This window comes from Homo sapiens, chromosome 1 (genome assembly GCF_000001405.40).
Source record: "Homo sapiens chromosome 1, GRCh38.p14 Primary Assembly".
Lineage (NCBI taxonomy): Eukaryota > Metazoa > Chordata > Mammalia > Primates > Hominidae > Homo > Homo sapiens.
The window spans coordinates 147,537,416-147,553,879 of NC_000001.11; the positions used below are offsets into that span (position 1 = coordinate 147,537,416).

The 16,464-nt window shown below is 41.6% G+C and overlaps 1 protein-coding gene across 1 annotated transcript in view, besides 5 other annotated features; it reads left to right on the top strand.

The window, feature by feature from the left end:
• Positions 3,744-4,038: an enhancer, noted in NCBI's record as "tiled region #5908; K562 Activating non-DNase unmatched - State 8:EnhW". NCBI's record gives its function as "activates a minimal TATA promoter and a strong SV40 promoter by Sharpr-MPRA in K562 cells {active_cell/tissue: K562}" and the evidence as "EXISTENCE:reporter gene assay evidence [ECO:0000049][PMID:27701403]".
• Positions 3,744-4,511: a biological region, named in NCBI's record as "NANOG-H3K27ac-H3K4me1 hESC enhancer GRCh37_chr1:147012942-147013696".
• Positions 3,757-4,511: an enhancer, noted in NCBI's record as "NANOG-H3K27ac-H3K4me1 hESC enhancer chr1:147012942-147013696 (GRCh37/hg19 assembly coordinates)". NCBI's record gives its function as "activates a minimal SCP1, AML or CMV promoter by ChIP-STARR-seq in naive H9 embryonic stem cells {active_cell/tissue: H9 hESC(naive)}" and the evidence as "EXISTENCE:reporter gene assay evidence [ECO:0000049][PMID:30033119]".
• Positions 4,072-4,131: an enhancer, noted in NCBI's record as "active region_1632". NCBI's record gives its function as "activates an Ori minimal core promoter by ATAC-STARR-seq in GM12878 lymphoblastoid cells {active_cell/tissue: GM12878}" and the evidence as "EXISTENCE:reporter gene assay evidence [ECO:0000049][PMID:35858748]".
• BCL9 (BCL9 transcription coactivator) overlaps positions 4,086-16,464 on the top strand; it is an 84,716-nt gene continuing 72,337 nt past the window's right edge. Inside the window, exon 1 of the mRNA NM_004326.4 lies at positions 4,086-4,259. The gene's annotated coding sequence lies outside the window, so the exon portion shown is untranslated. The remainder of the gene's footprint in view (positions 4,260-16,464) is intronic.
• Positions 7,675-8,193: an enhancer, noted in NCBI's record as "NANOG hESC enhancer chr1:147016860-147017378 (GRCh37/hg19 assembly coordinates)". NCBI's record gives its function as "activates a minimal SCP1, AML or CMV promoter by ChIP-STARR-seq in naive H9 embryonic stem cells {active_cell/tissue: H9 hESC(naive)}" and the evidence as "EXISTENCE:reporter gene assay evidence [ECO:0000049][PMID:30033119]".

Consider the following 16,464-nt stretch of genomic DNA (forward strand, 5'->3'; position numbering starts at 1 on the left):
CTTGTTTCCTAGTGTCCCTTCTCTTTCTACTGCCCTGTACAGCCCCCAAATCAGGCCTGCCGTACACCAAGGAGTCTTCTAAGTTACAAAACTATCTACCTGCTCCTACTATTGTTTTCCTCTTCTCCCTCTACTCTAAATGGCTGTTTGATATGATATAGGAATTTGTAGAAAAGTAGGCTAATGAAATAATTCATGCTAAAGTAGGAAAGGCTGACTTCCCTTATCCCTTCTAGAGGTGTTTACATTTTAAAAAAATTATTAATAATGCAAGTGAATTTGTAATTGGTGAGAGCTGTAGCAGTGAAACAAAATAAAGTGAAAAATGGATATTATGTAGAAGGCATTTTGGAAGAGGTGTGTTGCAATCTGGGTAGAACAGCCCAGATAGGGTCTAATTCTTGTTCCATTCCTTAAACCCCCTCCAGCGCATTTACACACATACATGCCAAACACACCTCATCAGTTACCTTGGCTTCTAGTCTTTTTCTTTTCTTTTTTTTTTTTTTTTTTTTGGAGACAGAGTCTTGCTCTGTCACCCAGGCTGGAGTGCAATGGTGTGATCTCAGCTCACTGCAAGCTCTGCCTCCCGGGTTCACACCGTTCTCCTGCCTCAGCCTCCCCAGCAGCTGGGACTACAGGCGCCCGCCGCCATGCCCGGCTAATTTTTTTGTATTTTTAGTAGAGACGGGGTTTCACCGTGTTAGCCAAGATGGTCTCCGTCTCCTGACCTCGTGATCCGCCCACCTTGGCCTCCCAAAGTGCTGGAATTACAGGCGTGAGCCACCGCGCCCAGTCTGGCTTCTAGTCTTTTCCTCATCAACCAGATAACTATTAGCATGATAGCATTTCAGAACTGGAAAGGGTTTTAGAGCTAATGTCATTAGCTTATTTTATAATTGAGGAAATAGGGTTCAGATAGCAAGGCTCGTGCTCACAGTTCTTCTGCCTAAGAATCTAGGACATTTTCATCTATACTCCATGCTTAGCTTTCATAAGTCTTGTAAAATAAACTTAGAAATGCTCATGCATTGACCTTGTTCACTTATCCACTTGGAATTTCTTTTTTCTCTTTGGAGTTGGCAGGTGGAAGCCATCAGTGCTGGAGGCAAGATAGTCTGACCTGGTGTTCTTACCAACATGTTCTGGCCTGGAGGCCTGGCATTCTCTGTCCTCTGCCAAGTGGAGGAATTGGAAAATTAAAGGTTGTTTGGGGGCCTGGGCACATGCTTTCTTTTTCTTTAACTACTTATAGGAGATATCATGAGATTTAAAAATGCATGTGAAAGTGTTAGGATCATGATTGCCTCTTTCTTCTTTCTCTCATTGAGCATTTGTATTTTCACTCTAACAATTGGAACAAGTCTTTTTGCTGCCTTAGCAGTACAGCATAGTGGTGGGGATCCTGGTCTCTAGAAAGGCAGACCACCTGGGGCCATATCTCAGCCACTACTTCCTGGCTGGATTACCTTAACACGCTCCTTCACTTCTGTGCCTCAGCTCCTTCATCTAGAAAATAGACACACTGATAGTTTACACTGTATGGGGTTGTTTAATATATGGAAATTCTTAATAAATGTTAGTTGCTGTCATCACCATTATCATCAATATCTATGGGCCTTTTTAGTTTGCTTTTTTATTTAAAAAAATTTTTTATACTTAAGAAAGGGAAGCTTTTCTGGTCTTAGCTGCCTTTCTCTATTGCCTAGCAATCTGAAAATAGTGCAGTCATTGAAGGTTAAGTCGACCCTTTATGCAATTCTTGCCTGGGAGGCCTCATTGTGTATAGTGAGTCACCACCACTTAGAAGTGGACAGTGAGTCAGTAGCCTATTAAGGGGAGGTCAGAAGTTCCCCTGGCTCAAAATGAAAGGATCCAAACCCAACCCTGGGGTACAGAAAAAACAGTGTACTTATATGGCTGACTGGACTTGAAGTGCCATGGAGTACCTGGACTACTCCAGTGAGAAGGCATAATATGGCGGGTAAACGCTGGGGCTTTAGAATCACACAGGCCTCAGTTGGATTTCAGCTCTACCTCTGCCTTGCTGTGTGACCTCAGACAAGTTGCTTAACCTCTCTGTGCCTCGTTTTTCTATCATCTGTAAATGGAAATGATCATAACAAAAATTACTTCATGATACAAATGAGTGGGAAAATGCTAAGAATCAAGTAAATACTTAAAAAAAGGTTATTATTATTATTATTATATTACCACATCATCATCATTAATGGGAGTCGGGACAGACAGTTCAGGGATCAGGGATAATGGAGGAGCAAATTAAGGGGGAAAATAACAGGAACAAGTCTGTGTCTTTGATGTGGTGAGTTTTAGGTAGTGACACCTCATTTAGCTGGTGTTAAGTATGAAAGAAGTCATAATTTATTCTTTACTGCATACCTATGAAGGAATGAGTGATGTGTGTTCTCATAATTTCCATTTTGTAAAGGAAGATTCTGAGGAATAGAGTCTAAACAATCTTCATGAAAAAGTACAGAACTGATTCAGCAGCAGTTAGGAGCTAAGCTTCCATTCAGATCCTGTTGCATAGGGATAACTCTTCTGGCCTAGGCAGAGGAGACCTTGTTAGGTCTGTGAGTCCACAGTATCTAAAAATATGAATGTCATATAATCATCCTGTCATTCTTCTTCCTGATCTCAATTGGCCCTCCTGATTTCATGCCATCTGCAAATTTGCACATCCTTTGTGCTCCTTTTTGCTCACATTTTATGCCTTCTTTTACCATCTCATTTACTCTGCATGTTTCAATCTTTCTGGGCTTCCATTTTTCTTCTTTTTTTAATGCAGTGTTGTTTCTCTCTCTCTCTCTCTCTCTCTCTCTCTCTCTCCACTCCTTTACAGCCCCCACCTCCTCCCTCCACACCAATCAAATTCCTGCTTGTTTCTTGCCATATTCATTATCCTACCTCATTCCCCTCTTATTCCTAGAAAACAGCACACTCACCCTCCCCTCCTCCAACTCTCAGGCCCACCCTCCATAAATTCCAGCAGCCTGGCAATCAGTAACTTTAGCATCACACTTCACAGCTCTCCTAGTTTACACTACTTGTTACTACTCTCCTTGCTACTGCTCTCTAGGGTTTCTGCTAAAATAAAAAATAAAAAAAAATAAAAAAAGCTTCACTTTAAAAATATCTTGGGTACAAGTTGAACCTACAGTTAAGTTTACTCACACATTTACACATTTCATGATTTTATTTTAACTAGTAGCTCAAGTCCATGCTCAATTATGCAGTGAAAGAAGGCTAGATCCTTAGGAAACAAATTTTTCTCTATTGTAAAGAAGAAAAATCACCTAACCACTCAACAGAAACCCCAGTCCTGGGGCCACTCACCCTCTTATCTCCCTACTCCCCCAATCTCCAGCTAATGGGACTTTGCTTTTTCCTTTGTCGGGTCATTTATTTCACTTTTCCTGGCGCTGAGATGGCCTGAGTCTGTGTATGTGTGCACACGTGTGTGGCCACTGCTTTTCTTCCAAAGGACTCACCTCTCTTCTGCCATTTTACTAGGACACAGGAGGCGGCTCTCTGCTCTCGCTCTCCCTCTCTTTTTCTCCCTGCCCCCAACTCAGCCTGGGCTTTTTCCTGTCTCTTAACTCCACCAGTGCAGCAGCAACTAGCTGAGCTGCTTGAGAGAGAGAGAGAAGAGAGAGAGAGAGAAGAGAGAGAGAGAGAGAGAGGAGAGAGAGAGAGAGAGAGAGAGAGAGAGAGAGAGAGAGAGAGAGAGAGAGAGAGAGAGTGTGTGTGTGTGTGTGTGTGTGTGTGTGTGTGTGTGTGTGTGTGCCTGCGTGCGCAGCTAGGCCAAGCCTGCGAGCCTGCCTGTCACTGGAGAGTTTTAGTTTGCATTCAGAAGAAAGGAGGAGGGGAGACAAGAGGGGAGGAGGAAAAGGTGGAGGGGGGAGGAGTGGGGGGGCGCAGAGAAGGGAGGGAGAATGTCTTGTTTGTGGCTTGTCAGCAATTGCTTGAGACAAGCTTCCATGTGTGAAAGCTACTTGGCATGAATGCCTGGGCCGTACCAAGTGTCACCGCAGCAAGAGGGGGAGTCAGAAGAAAAACAGATCAGACCAGAGCAGACAATAGGCCCCTAAAGTGTTCCCCCTAAGTTGCTTTGATGTTGTCCTGGTGTCTTGATACCAGGAGGCCAGGGATTGCGGGAAAAGGGTCTTTTTTGTCTTCATTCACTTTCCCCCCTCAGTTTCTGAAATGATTCTCCAGAATTTCTCCTCATAAAAAAGGTAAGAGCCCTAACAATTCCTTCTTCGGTGGCAGGCTTGTTCGCCTGTGCCTGGAAGTGGGGGTCTCATTCCTGCGCTGCTCTGGAGGAGCGCTGGGGTCCTGCGATTGGAGCTCCTGCGTTGCCCCTGGAAGTCTTTCAAGGCATCCAGGACTGGGGATGGCCCCTCTTTCGAGGGAACCCCAGTAACACGATCTGTGCCTCTGGGTTGGTGGGGGAGAAGGGGTGGATGGAGAGGGCTGGGAGGAGGGTGTGAGGGTGGGAGGGAAAAGAGAGAGAGAGAGGGAGCGCGAGAGAGGGAAGCCTGGAAAAGAGGGAGAGAAGGGCAGAGCCTTGGTTCAGGGAAACCCCAGCCCAGAGCCCAGGGAGGCCTTGCAGGCTCCGAGCTGTGCATTCTCAGGCTGAGCAAGGGCCGGCCAGGGCTCCGCCGAGTGACTGCAGAGATTGCATCGAGCTTTGTGTGTGCCAGTGTGCCCGTGGGTCTGTGTGTGCGTGTGGACTTCCCACACACTGCCCTGGCGTGCCTCGCTGTGAAGGGGAGGCACCCCGATCCTTACCACCCCAGCCCAGACTCTCCGAGGAGGAGCGGCATGGCAGGCAAGAAGGGAGAGCAAGAGAACTCTGCCACAAGACGATCCAGAAACTTTTCCAGTCTCAGGGATTCCTCTGGTCGTAGAGACTGTTGAGTTGTGGGGTGCCCCGTGCCTCAATTTCCCCATCTGTAAAATCAAGGTTGCTGATCAGGGATGCTGTATGCCTCCCTGGGATTGAGCGAAACAGAACAGATCACTGTGTCTGAAACGCGTGGAGAAATCGTCAGCTAGAGATGCTGTGGAATCACAGAGTAGAAGTGTTATCATTATTCTTGATCATCATCATCAGGGTAATAAAAACATCATTAAAGACACCCTGAGACAAATAGACTGAGGAGCACAGATCAAGTGTCTGAGCATTTCTAAGGAAACAAAAAGCCTTGTTCCACCTGTTGGCTTCTGTCCTTTTTCTCTTGTGTCTTTTCGTTAGATTTATTGGCCGATTTGTACAGAGAATGGGGTGGGAGGGGTTGGGTTTTCCCCTTTCCTCCTCCTTGTACGTATTTTTGTTTTAAAGAAGGTCAATGTAAGATGCTTGAGCGAGAAAATGTGCCTCCTGGTATAGTAGTTTATTCAAGACCTTGTGTTTTCTGGGGCTGGCAGGGCATGCAGACGCATCTGTAAACTCTACCTTGGAGGTTAAAGATTTTTATTGTGGCTTTTAGAGATTAAATGAGATTTATTTACAATTGCTGTTTATCAGAGAGTAAATATCTTACTGTGTGTGTACGAGGCTAAGAATGTGAAGGCTGTTTACTCGCCGGTGGTTTTGTGGATAAAACCTTTTGCTTTTTCAAGTGACATCTTGAGGGATGGAACAGAGGGCTAAAATCAGTGCCTAACATTCATCTTAACAATTTTTTTTGAGGAAAAAAAATGTCTGCTTATTTTCTTGAATTGTGGATTTCCTTTCTTCTGTTCCTACACATTGATTGTTTAAAGGCTCTCAGTTGTAGCTCTCTCTGAATTCTCTGGAGGAGTTCTGCTTTCTTACCTAATTCTAGGTTTTCTGTGACTCTGCTACTTGTCCAAAAAAATCTGTAAAAGTCTAGGAGGCTGTGCCTCCTTCCATTCTAACTGCAAATGTTTATCAGACTGACTCCCTGTGATAGCTGGAGATTGAAGCAAAGGGCCAGCCCTGGCTGAGAATATTTATGTGCTTTTCACAGAGGCCTGGAAACCTGACTTCTGAGTATGGGAAAAGCTGAAGGAAAGCCATTAGTTGGCCTGGATCTGGCAAGAAGGTCCCCCTACATTTAAGGTTTTATTAAAATAAAGCTGTATTTTATGCATATATATATCTGAAAACTTAGTTGTTTTCTACTTTATAGTCAGAGATCTTACCATGGTTGTTCCTGACAAGATTTCAGGGTCCAGATATCTTCCTAAAATGTTAGAATTTAAGAACTGCAAGGAAAAAGAAGTGTTATTCCATCATGTTATAGATGAGGATGTTAAGGTCCAAGAGAGATAAGCACTGATCTGAGGCGGGTGCAACAAAGCTGTGGTAACATCTAGACCACACCCTGGGGTTCAGAGTACCCCAAGGGTCTTCATGCCGGGTACCCTTACCTCACACCCACATTTGATTTTACAAACTCCAGCACTTGGCCAACCAAAGAGAGGCACCTTTTGTAGTTCTGCTTGCTGTGCTGGATTACAGCAGCACACTCTGCCCTGCTCATGTCATCAAATGGTACAAATATGCAAACATGGGTCCACAACATGAATTTGCATAAATTCATTCATGTATTCATTTGTTCATTCAACTTATATTTTGGGGCTCTTTACTCTGCAGCAGGCAAATACTGGGCACTGAGGATATAGGAAGAGAAAGGCAGATATACCCCTGCCCTCAGGGAACTTACAGTCTTGTTGGTATGATCAACATTAACCACATGGTCACACAAACCAGTAATCATAATATTGATGATACTTGTTGAATAGCATGCAAGTATTATGACGGAGTGCATAGAGTTGCATAAGTTATTGACTCAAAGTGTGTAACTAGACATAAGCTAACTGTTCTCTTTCTCTGTGTGGCTGAGTTCCCCTTGCCCCAGCCAACCTCCATTCCACTGGTGCCATTCCTATTCACAGGGAGCCCAGCAATTCCAAAGAGCAGAAAATTCTCCTTCCCTCTCTCACCATCCTTCACTCTCTCTCTTTTTCTTAGCACACAGACCAACAAATAATATCTGCTAATCCCCTACACTTGTGCCATGAAGTAACTTCACTCTTGTAGTGAGCAGCCTAACATTGTTACCTGGATAATTCATGTTGACCGTGGTTAGTGAGACTCTGATCTCGTTTTACTGATTCCATCGTTCTTCCAGGGCTGGTACTAAACACTCAGCTGCAAGAGACTCCACCATTATCACTGTCATCTTGGAATTCCAAAGACAATATAATAAAATGACCTTTCCTACCCCTCCCAGCAAGGACACATATCCTACCCCTCCCAGTGAGGACTCATAAAGGGAAAAAAAAATTAAATACCTTTTTAGCAGATCTCTGGTTGTGCTATTAAAATCTGACTGGTTTAGTGATATCAAAGATAGAATGTTTTTTCTCTCTCTCTCTCTCTTCCTCCTATTTGTGGCCTTTCTTGGAAAGAATATAGTGTCTGGTTGAAATGCCAGTCATTTCCACGGAGGCAGATTTGTGTTAATGTTGGCATCACCATTTTCTACATCGTGTCTTTCTCTAGTACTCAGTGGAGTGTTGTCTTCAGTGTTGTCAATCCATCTTTTTTTTTAAGATTAATTTAATAGTTTTTTTAGAAGACAGACATGCCCACCCACACATAAATCATAGGTTCGATGCCTATACTTTGGGAACCCACACATAATGTGTGGTTAAGTCGTGTCATGAGAAAAATAAGAGTCATTTCTACATACCCAGCATTGTTACACAGGGATGTGCCCAGCCCACATTGTAGCAACAACCTAAACCGGAGCTTGCCAGCTTGCTGTGGTCTGCATTTGGCACCTGTGGCCAACGCCTCCTCCTCTGAGCGGTATGCACTTCATTTGCAAGTCTTTGATCACTTCCGACATACTCTCCCCCACCCCAAGTGTGTTACTCACCGGGGAGCTGCCTCTTGGGGAGGCAGTCTGAGTTGGCATTGGAAGAGTAATCTAAGAAGAGGAGTAATCCAAGTGGGGAGTTGAGGAGTGAGTAAAACGAGGATCTGGTCAGAGGAAAGATTTAACAGAACTGGAGAGCCAGACAGCAGTGATAACAGGTCATCTTTAACTCTGGGGGAAGAAAACTGAAGACTGTTATGACATTTTAAAGGTGCAATGTGTAGGTACTCTGCATAAATAAAAATTCTAGAGTCTCTAGTCCTGCTGAAAGTAAAACCAACACAACATGCAGGACATTCCCAAAACTCACTAGTTACAAATACGGCTTTTGCATATAGCTTTACTGAAGGGGATTTTGTAGTTTTTCTACTCCCAAGAGACATAAATATAAGATGTACAATGGAAATTTTCTCCATTCCTTTTAAACCTTGACATTTTAATGCACTTTAAAATATCTGCTTAGTCCTCTATTATAACAGCTCTGTGAATTAAACAGTATTGTTATCCTTCTGTTATATTTGAGTAAGGTTATGTGACTCACCCAAGGACTCACAAGAAAATGAGGGGTGAAACTGCTAGCTAATTAAATCTCCTTGTTAGGCCATCTCTGCAAGAGATGAGAAGCAGAGAACAGAGGCAATCACCACAACATTCAGATTAAAGGTAACGTGTTGACTTGGCATTAAAATAATTGCCTTGGGCCAGGCACGGTGGCTTAATCCTGTAATCCCAGCACTTTGGGAGGCCGAGGCGGGCGGATCACGAGGTCAGGAGATCGAGACCATCCTGGCTAAAACGGTGAAACCCCGTCTCTACTAAAAATACAAAAAAAATTAGCCGGGCTTGGTGGCGGGCGCCTGTAGTCCCAGCTACTCCGGAGGCTGAGGCAGGAGAATGGTGTGAACCCAGGAGGAGGAGCTTGCAGTAAGCTGAGATCCCGCCACTGTACTCCAGCCTGGGTGACAGAGTAAGACTCCAAAAAAAAAAAATAATAAATAATAATAGTTGCCTAAGTTTTGCCATCCCCCCCCTTTTTTTAAAACACTAGAATTTAGAGTGTTCATCGAAAAAAGGGATCCTAGTTCTAGTTTAATAATGACATGTTTTCTACAAAGTGCAATGGACCAGCTTCTAGCTTTGGTTTTGCCAGTCTGTGGCCTAGAAATCCCCATTCTACTTCTCTAGACCTCTCAGAATGAGGGAATTGGACTAAATCATCTTTAAGCTTCCTTCCAGCTCTGCTATTCAGTATTTTTCTGATTCTGTGAATAGGATACTTCATGAATCTGGTCTTTGGTCACCTTATATGAAGCCCAATTCAAGAACTATAGTTATCAAAGGGGAAAGGGTAGTGGGTTTTGTGGATATATAGGATTCATTCCTATACGTCTATATCTATCATAGCGACTATGTTGACATTTTGAAGTGAAAAGCTCAATGGGAAAAAGTGAGATTTTAATTTATATCCTTTAGGAGAAATTGCCAGTCAGCATGCAGACACATGTGCAAGAGACCAAAGAACCATTTCTGAAAGAATAGGCTGTTTTGAATGCATGTTTTTCTGTATAAGTATGAATTTAAAATGGACGGGCACTGGGTACATCTCTTAGCTTTGCTGTTCTCACAGGCTTTTCCATAAAAATCGTGTTTTTTTTTATATTGTGCTCACATGTTGTTTTGAGGATGCAAAGAAACAGTGTAAGCAACTATAGTGCTGATGATACATGCTATGCGTTTAACACTATGCTTTTGGGGATGACAGGACAATCTTTATGACATGCAACTCCTGAAAGAGATTATTGAAGACTTGCTGATATGTTACGTATGTGTATGTGTGTATAAAATATGTGTGTGCATATATATTATATATGCCTTTAAGATATGAGTAATAAGCTGCTTCTGAAATGTGATTGAGGGTGAGACAGAGGGTAGAGAATGAATGATGTTTTCATTAATCATGTCATCTCTATGAGTAATTCCAAGCACTATTCATTTGAAATTGGTTAAACCTTTGAAAAGATATAATTTAAAAATTTCACACAATGGCTCTTAATGCAATTTTTAGAACTCCAGAGTAAATTTTCTGCCATGTTTTAGGAATATCATCTTGCTTGGAGCAAGGGAAACCAGTTCAAGGTTGCTTTGACAGTAAACCACTGACTCTATTTTAATTAGTTTTACGTTTTCTCATCTGGAAAAAAATAGTATGTAAGATATAATTACTTTCTAGCTGGGAAAGAGGATTTTTCACACTGTATGTAATAATTTTTTGACTTACAATGTTCCTTTATTCTGGGTTGCTTAAAATTCCTGACATTGAATATCTTGCTTAATGTCATAACAATAATAATAAGTAGATGCATAAGAGAAATTTATTGTTAACTTTAAAGACGGGAAAAAAGAAATAGTTTAGTGAAGTGGACATGCCAGTAAGACTTTTAGAACCTAAGAATGTACTCTGTAGAAATTTGTGAAGCGTTTGGTTACCGATGAATGCTAAACATTATAAAGGAAAAGAAAAGCATATTCTACATATTATTGTTGCCAATCTAATTTTTAATGATCTAAGTAGTTATCAAAAGTATTCTTAAAGATTCAAAATGCCTTCAGTTTAAAACTTTGGAGAGCTTTAGTAATTCCATGAAAATCACAATCACTCTTTTTCCTGAAAAATACGCAAATTCAAAACTACCACTAATGGCATTTGAAGGAAACCAAGCTGTCATTTGCTCAGAAGAGAAACTTATGAACCTTGGAGTAGCTTTTTATCTGGGATAATACTAGATATGTTGGACTTTCTGTTATCCTTAGGGCTTGTGTAGTTAGTATATGTTTGAGGAGAGAAATTTTGCTGGGGGTCTGTGGACAAGGGTCATTTTGAGTGAAGGTTAAGGTCATACTTGCTCTAAGGATGCTTGGATTGGTGGTTTACTGTATAGACATCCATGACACACTGGAGTGTTTAAGGCAACCATAGTCTAAAGAATTCAGGACTTTAACTCCTGTGCCAGTGCCCACGTTGCTGTCTCTGCCTGGAGTGTCTTTTTGCCTTATCTTTTCCAAGCCAGCTCCAGCTGCTCCTTTCAAGATTTATCCTGGGCATTTCTTCTGGGAAGTTTCCTGGACCCAAACCATGTCATTCCTGCTCTACCACCTCCTAGACTGGGTATGCACTTATGTGGCTCTTATCATACTGCACTAGAATCATCTGCCTCCTGCTCTGGGCTGTGGCCCCTCAAAGATTGGGATTGTTTGTAGTTTTTGTACCCCTAATCCTTAGCATAGGGTGAAACAGAACAGGCAATCAATAAATGTTGGTGAATGAATAAACAGTTCACATTGAAATAGAGCTAATTAATAAATTTAATTAAATATACATCCAGAGGCTGAGGTGGGAGAATTGCTTGAGACCAGCCTGGGTGAGATAGTGAGACCCTGTCTCAAAAAAAAAGTATAAATACAAAAAGAATTGACAAGAAGAATCTTAAATTGCAACCTTATGTTGCATTAAAGAAAGGAAATTTCTCATAGGGTATCCGTTTTCTCTCCTGTTGCAAAGAATAAAATATACAGTCATAATAAAGCATTTCGTATACTCTCAAATTCTCTCCTTTTCTTTCTTTCTTTTTTTTTTTTTTTTTGACTGAGTTTTGCTCTGTTGCCTAGGCTGGAGTGCCGTGGTGAGATCTCGGCTCACTGCAACCTCTGTCTCCTGGGTTCAAGCGATTCTCCTGCCTCAGCCTTCCAAGTAGCTGGGATTACAGGTGTGCACCATGACACCCAGCTAATTTTTGTATATTTAGTAGAGACAGAGTTTTGCCGTGTTGGCCAGGCTGGTCTTGAACTCCTGACCTCAAGCGATCCACCCACCTCAACCTCCCAAAGTGCTGGGATTACAGGCATGAGCCACTGCACTCGGCCTCCTCTACTTTCTTATGCCCAGCTTTTTCCCCCTAAAGCTTTTGTTTTTCATGTTTCCCACTCTTGGACCTTGTGATTTCCTACAACTTTATTTTTTACGTCAAAGAATCACAGATGATAAATGAGTTAGTTAAGTTTGCCTATCTTACCTGCTATTTATTAATATTTAGGTAGTAGCTAAAGAAGAGAAGTTTCTTCTAGCTCAGAAACAGGAAAAATCAGAGATCTTTGAGGAAGTCTGGACAATCAGAGAATAGAAGGTGAATGCCTGACTTCCAGGAATCTGCAGTTGTGACCATCTGAAACAAAGAAGGAGTCACTGTAATTTAACTTTCATTTTCTAAAAAAGGTTTTAAGTGCTAAACCCTCTAGAAAAGGGCTTCTGGTTGCAAAGGACTGACTCACTCAGGTTTCCTCTAGAAAAGTGACATTCATCGTGAAGATGCTCACAGATAGAGCCTGCAATCAAGACTCGGAAACCTTTTAGGTGCTGAGGCAGCTCTGGGGACAACCTTCTCTTTCATATCAGTCTGATTCTCTCCCTCTGTGTTTGCTTTCCTCAGGCTCTTTTGCTACTCACTGCTTTGATCTTCTAGCTTTTTTCTGAGTAACCACTCTCAATCTCATAGGTTTTTAATTACACCCCTAATTGTTGCTTCTTTGACTTGTCAAGAGCCCCATGTCCAGAATCTACTCTCTCTACTCTTCCCACTTCATGGCTTTTCCTCATGGTTTCTTTCCTTACATTCTTTCAGCTGCAATTTTCCCTGATAATTGCTTCCTTCTCTCAGAATTCCCTAATTTAGATTCCCAAGAAAGGATCCAGTTAACCCAACTCATCTTTTCACTGCCATGCTTTATAGGTTCTTAGCCAGCTTAAGGTTGGAGCTGTCCGTGAGCCAGAAGGTCACCTCTAGTCTAGGATGTTGTGGTAAAGGGAGATGGGTAGGGGTAGAGCGGTTGTCACTTGGTATAAAACTGGACTGTCTTTTAGTACGAACCATGGAAGGGCCATCTTCCCTTCCACGTAACTGGCAATGAATATATTTGACACAGCTAATATAAGCCCATTATGGAAGTCTAGGAAATTAAGGCTAACTAGATTACTAAAAATTAAAATTTTCATGGGTGACAATTAGTATAACTGAGATAAAAAGACCATGAGAACAATGGCAAATTTATAACAAAAAAAATTGGGAGAGGGAAGTGTATTAGAGTTAGCTCTTAGATGAGTGACGTCATTTCATGTATTTATCAAAAAGCAAGAATAGGTGAATAGTGAGAGTGAGAATATATTGACATGGATCCCACAGGCTAGTTTAAAAAGCAAGCATACTACTGGAATTGGGGACCAGGATGAGGATAAATAGAAGCATTAAACTCCATAGGGAGCTTCAAAGCCTGTGCTTTCTTCCTGTGCTTTCTTCCTATGCTTCCCTGTTCTGTACTTGATCCAACTTATTTGTAACTTCTGGAACAGTCTGTCCTGAACTGGTTATGTGACCTTGGGCTGGTTATTTATTCTCTCGGAAACTCAGTTCATCATCTGTAAAATAGGGATAATAATTGTTATTTAAATAGCTTGTCTTAAGAATTAAATTAGATGGGATCATATATTTAAAGTGACTGATACACATTACCTGATATGTAAAAGGCACTCAATCAGCTGTAGCAATTATTCTAGAACATAAGGAGGAAGGAAATGTTGACAGAACAATGTGCTGGGTAAAATTCCACTTTTTGTATCATTTATTCCTTATAACAATCCTGAGGGACTTGTATTATTATTTCTACTTTATAAATGAGGAGACAATAATAATAATTGAGTATTTGCTATGTGCCACACACTGAGCTAAACTCTTCCAGGCATTGTCTCATTCAAACTGCGATAGGTGCTATTAATACCTTCATCTCATAGTTGAGGACACTGCGGTCTAGAGAGTATAACTTGCCCAACATCATCCAATTAGTAAGTGACAACTAGAGTGTAAGTCTATCTAAAGCTGGGTCAGTCTGACCGCAAAGGATTTCCAAAGTCATATAATTGCTAAGTGACTGAGTCAAGGCTCAGGTCTTGTTAAGGGCAGTACTTCTTCAGTGCACAGCCAAAGGTACATGCTGATTGAATGAAGGATAGTGGCAGGCACACACCTATTAGGGTCTCTGACTCTGAGTGCCATGGTTAGTCAAGGATAAGTTTTGGATAGGGTACTGTTACGGTTCAGCTGTTCCCTCCATAACTTATGTTCAAATTTAATTGCCATTATGACAGTATTAACAGGTAAGACCTTTAAGAGGCGGAGAGGTCATAAGGGCTTCATCCTCATGAATGGATTAGCACTGTTATCTTGGGAGTGGGTTAGTTATCAAGGGAGTGGGCTCCCGATAAAAGGATGAATTTGGCCCCCATTTTCCCTCTGCCATGCCCACATGTTCACTCACCATGTGATGCCTTCTGCTATGGAGTGACCCTCACAAGATGTGGCCCCTTAATCTTGGACTTTCCAGACTCTAGCAAATAAATTTCTTTTCTTTATAAATGACGCAGTCTGTGGTATCCTGTTACAGCAGCAGAAAATGGACTAAGGTATAGACTTTTAAAAGTTTTAATAATTTAAATATGTCAAAATAAGGTCTCTGAGACCTGAGGAAGTGATTTAACAAATATGATAAATATCTGTTGTATGTCAGGCAATGAAAATTAGCTTGGCATTGTGGGGTGCAAGATGACTGAGGCTTGAATCCCTACCTTTAAGGTGCTTTCATCCTGGTGGAGAGAGACAGATATTCACAGAACTAATTATAAAGCATATACCAATGGATCAAAAGAACTGTGGTAGTCACGGGAGAGAACAATTAATTTGGTGGTGAAGGGAATAATGGTGGAAGGAATTGGGGAACACTTCATGAAGGAGATGACATTTGCAATGGTCCTTGAGGGATGAATGTGGAAGTACTAGACGTCTTCTATAGTTTAGTTTTTCTTCACACCAGTGGTTTTATAAAGGGTGATATAAAGTAGCATTGTAATGACTGAATAATAGATTGAGGCCAGGTGCAGTGGCTCACACCTGTAATCTTAGCACTTTGGGAGGCCAAGGCGGGTGGAACAACTGAGGTCAGGAGTTCGAGACCACCCTGACCAACATGGAAACCCTGTCTCTACTAAAAAATACAAAATTAGCCAGGCGTGGTGGCGCATGCCTGTAATCCCAGCTACTCGGGAGACTGAGGCAGGAGAATCACTTGAACCCAGGAGGCAGAGGTTGCAGTGAGCTGAGATCGCACCATTGCACTCCAGCCTGGGCAAAAAGAGTGAAACTCTGTCTCAAAAAATAAAACAAACAAACAAACGAAAAGATTAACAGATAATAATGCTTTTAAAGATTAGTTTCCTTGAGTGAAAGCAGAGAAATATCCACTCTTACTAACCATAAGACTATATTGGCATTTTCCTAGTCTGTACTTACCCAGAGTTCTGTTGAAGGAATCACACAATGAAATACCCTGTTCTACGCTTTCTAGGTTTGGGTTCTAGAGTTGAACAGCAATCTAACAAGGGCCTATAAATCCCTGGTGTGACCATATGGGACACTAGTGTGAGTTCTTGTGCAGTACAAAGGAGTACTAAGGTACTGACAGATGGGTCATTTATTCATCTACTCTTTGAGATTTTAGTCTGCAGTTGGGAATTTCCAATTTTTTTTTTTTTACATACAATACCAGGCTTTCTGGATTTGGTGGTTTTTTTGGAGACAGTCCTAATTTAAAACATTCTGCCTTGTCTCCATAAGTATATTCATGATTAGTAGTCAGTATATTCTGGTGGTTGTTTCAGGTTGTTCAGTTATATTGAGTTTCTACATCCGAATCCTGTTTAAAGAGGGCCTAGTAGACATCTTCTGCATTATGGACTTTGTTCACTTGCTGTGACAAAGTGCATACTGACTGGTCTTTACACTGTAAGGTAGAACCTCAGCTAAGCTCTCTTATTCTGTTTTGGTTTGGTTCTTTACTTAGCTTCTCTTTTCCCAAACTCTGCAGATGGACATTAGACTCATTCTTATTTCAAGGACTGGCTCAAATGTCACATTCTGCACGGTCTTTTTCAATTCCTAGAGCCAGAGGACTCTTGCATCCATGCTATATTCTACTTTGCTTAGAATGATCATATTAGCTATATGTGTTCACTATCACAAATCCCTTAATAGAGAGTAAACCAGAGGGTAAGGATTTAGGTCCTGTTCACCTCTGCATCTCCAAGAGCATCCAGCAGAGTTCCTCTCCTTACAAGTGGTTGTGCTCAGAGATGTTTATTGAACTCAACTGAATTGAATTCTTGGCTTCATTGGATTTGCTTTGAGTATGGTAACATTGATGTCTGTGCCCTAGTTCCCTTTTGGAAAAGAAATGCTGCCTTAAAAATAAAAAGCATCTTAACTGATTTTGGGATGAAAGACACCATGTAATATAAGCAGTAATTGTAATTATTATTAATAAGCATCATTAAAATAGTATGAACTGATAGGATTACTTCCTTTGCTTGCTTTTGCCAGCAGAGTTGGCAGGTTTGATAAACTAACTGGTCTTTTCCATCTTCAAT